The 3,697-nt window shown below is 46.2% G+C and overlaps 1 annotated feature.

The window, feature by feature from the left end:
• Positions 256–456: a silencer, noted in NCBI's record as "peak146 fragment used in MPRA reporter construct". NCBI's record gives its function as "represses an SCP1 promoter by STARR-seq MPRAs in K562 erythroleukemia cells {active_cell/tissue: K562}" and the evidence as "EXISTENCE:reporter gene assay evidence [ECO:0000049][PMID:32103011]".

Genomic DNA, 3,697 nt, shown 5'->3' with positions numbered 1-3,697 from the left:
AAATATTATTAAAGCTCCTACACTGCTTTACTAAAGAAATGAGCTGGATCCATGGTAAAGCAAAACTAACTGAAGATTGATAAAGGCTCTTATGGCAACAAGCATTTAACAGGTTGCTGAGGGAACCCTCATTGATGCTCTTGGTAAGGGAGCAGTAGCCGGAGCTCATCAGAGATAGAAAACTCACTTGGATCACATAGCCCAGAGACCCCAAACAGCAACATCATTTAGGGTTGGAGTAGGTGAGGGCAGTGGAGGGGGAGGGCTCAGGGGAAGAACAGAGATGGGCTGGACTTTAAGGCCGGTACTCATTTGTTGAAATAGAAGGATTCCATTCAGCACCATGGACAGAGCCTGCCTTCTTGGAGAAGGCTCTCCAGGAAACAGCATGAGTGGATCAGAAAGGGGAACCTGGTGACTTTCAACTGATGGCACTAAGGCAAAGTCCAGTTCACAGAAAATTCACCTGGCCAAACCTACTGTATCTAGGCAGCTCTTTTCAAGGCCACCGAATCCTTACAAACAGGTAGAGAAAGTCATTAGGCAGTTGTGGGGAAACAGGGAGGGGTAAAACCCAGGGTTCAAGTCTCCCTCTCTTAGCATTGGCTCAACTATGAACTTGGGCAAGTCACCCTCCTCGAATATCAGTTTCCTCACCTTTAAAATAAGGGTGCTGCACCAGATGGTTCCTAAAGGCTTTTCCAGCCAATACACTCCATGATCTAAGGCTACTGCAACATCCCATGGAAATATGTTTGATCATTTCCAGCCTCCTGGCCTTGCAGACATGGTCTCTGGTTATAACTCCTGTCCAGACCATCAGCACTGAAGAAAAGGTCCCCACACCTCATGCATCTATACCCCTTGGTCCTGGGTAGCTCTGTCTCCCAATCTTGCTGGGCCTGGGAAGGTCCAGACTGCAGACATGGTGTTGGCCCACTCTGATGAGTGTTCAGAGCCTTGGCTTCAGGCAGAGCTGGGTTGGAGTCCAGGCTTCTCTACTTTCCCATTGTGGGACTTGAGGGATGTTGTTTAACCTACTGCTCCTCATTTGATATTGAATCTTCCCAACTCAGCAGTCGTAAAATTCCAGGAAGGAATATAAACAACCCCTGTGAGTGCCCCAGGGTGGCTGCCACAGTCAGTGCCCCATCACTGTGAATCTCCTCTCCAGATACTTAATGGTCACACCCATTGTTTATACATGTGACAGTAATTTGCTCATGGTTCTTCATTTACATTTCTTCCTGATTGATCTATTGACATGAACTTTTACCTTTTACCTTTGGCTCCTTACTATAATAATCATTATAATTATCAGTAGTATATGAACTCACAACTAATGTAGTACATGAACTCCACACTAATGTAATTACTGTCAGGCAGATGCAAATAATTCCTGCTCTCATTAATGTAATAAAAAAGTCATTAGCTTCACTCCTTCACATGTCAGGCCTGGGTCTGACTGCCTCTCCGGCCTCTCTCCTCTTGGGCAAACTTGTATATTTCTCTGCAGAAAAAAAAAAAAAAAACTCCCATTGTCTTTCTGTCCTTATGGTCAGCAAGGAAGATATTCTGCAGTGCCCCCAACCCCAAAGGACACATCGCTTTGTAGATATGCAACAACTCTACATACTTTGCTGCTGCTACTGCTGGCTACTGAGTATTGAGAACTTAAACTGGACTAGTGGAGAGCTAAGTGCCAGCATTACACTCAGAGAAATGTGCCATTCTGGCAGGGCACAATGGCTCACACTTGTAATCCCAGCACTTTGGGAGGCCAAGGCGGGAGTACTGTTTAGGCCAGGAGTTGGAGACCAACCTGGGCAACATAGCAAAACCCCATCTCTACAAAAAAATAAAAATTCGCCACATGTGGTGATGAGCACCTGAAGTCCTAACTACTCGGGAGGCTAAGGCAGGAGGATCCCCTGAGTCCAGGAGGTCAAGGCTGCAGTGAGCTATGGTCATGCCACTGCACTCCAGTCTAAGCAACAGAGCAAGATCCTATCTCTTAAAAAGAAAAAAAGTGATGCCATTCTCATTTCCATTTTATGAATATGAAAACAGAATTAGAACTGGGTAACTATCTCTGAATTAGTCACTGAATTAGTGAGTAATGAAGCCAGCCTTTGATTTCAGGTTTCTCCATTTCTAGAGCCCATGCTTTTGACATTTTGTACTAAAGATAGAAACCTGTCCTCTCCCCGCCTCTCCCCTGACCCCCACTCTTTCTCATTTTCCTTCTGTACCTTGCTCTTTGCTCACAACCCATACTTCTAAGGTTTTTGTGCTGGAAGCCTGAGGCCTGAGCTTCCAACTCACGTGTGGAACAGCAAAAGGGACCTGGCCTCAGAGACCCACCCCCAGCTTACCCGAAGGACCCTCCCCCACTGTGAAAACTGCTTGACTTTGTGGACAGGGATGATGGGAGTGACACATTGGTTTTTTCCTCACTCCACCTAGCAGCTCCTCACTCCACCTAGCAGCTTATATAGGCAACTAGCTTCAGTACCACCTCACTGTAGATGAGTGATGATAATACTGTTCCATTGTTTACTTCCATCCAGCTGTGCTAAGGAGCTTCTGGACTTCACAAAATACTCATAGCATCCTAGATAGCCCAGCATTGTACCCACTTAAAATACGGGGAAACTGAGGTCCAGAGTGCCATAGATTTCTGAAACAAAGAATCCCTTTAAAGGTCACCAACTTTTTCATTGTACAGATAGAGAAACTGAAGCCCAGCGAAGGAAATAGATTTGCCCAATGTCACACAGCAAGTGAAGGGCGGAGCCAAAACCAGATTCCAAATTCTCTAATTCCCAGGCCAGTGTCTTTAACATAGTGTCAGGCAAAATCCTCTAAACCAGTCCAGAATGTTTCTTGGATTTCAGTGTAGTCCCCACCCTGCCTGCCCTGCAGAGAAATCAGGGGTGGAGTCATCTACATTAAGACTCCGACTCCCACCACCAACTTACAGTGTAACCTTGGGTCATTCTGCCACTTCTGAAAGCCTTTTTTCTTGTGGTAAAATGATTGTTTGTGGGACAAGGATGCTGCATTTGAATGTCCCAGGCATCCTGGGCATGCTCAGTGTCCCATCCCTCCCCAGGGAATAAAAGCCTACATGGGCTACACAACTCAGCCAACCTCAGCTTTCAAGCAGCCACTTCAACTCCCCAACAACGACTTTCATTGCTCCTCCAGAGACCTTGATCCATGGATCCATTTGAGCCAAATAAACTGATTTATGGAAATGATTATTCCCTGGTGCTATTCTCATTAGCTGCAAATAGATGGTGCTTCTGGATAAGCCCACAAGTCCAGCTAAAAACAAACCCATCCCTCTAACATGACATCTCTGGAGAGGTGGGCATTCGATTATCCAGATTATCATAGCTTTTCACTGCGCCCCTCTAGCTTTTATTTAACTGGAGTTGGAATCTCCCACCAAGAGGCTCAGCACTCTGAGGAATTCTCCTGGAAGGAAGATGCCATGTGCTGCACAGAGCACACTGTTTCATGGAGAAAGGGTGGAGGCTTGGTGTGCAGAGCAAAGGGCCTCCAAGACTGGCCTGGGTATGCAAGTGTAGACCTTCTGGTGTTGGTGAAGTTTGGCTTTGAGAGGATCAGATGCCTTCATATAACTTGCCTCACAGAATCTGGGCAGATAGCGTAGATACCCTGTGGACTC

The sequence above is a fragment of the Homo sapiens genome, chromosome 1 (genome assembly GCF_000001405.40).
Source record: "Homo sapiens chromosome 1, GRCh38.p14 Primary Assembly".
Lineage (NCBI taxonomy): Eukaryota > Metazoa > Chordata > Mammalia > Primates > Hominidae > Homo > Homo sapiens.
Note: the sequence above shows the minus strand (reverse complement) of the source record. Positions and strands in the feature narration are given on the sequence as shown.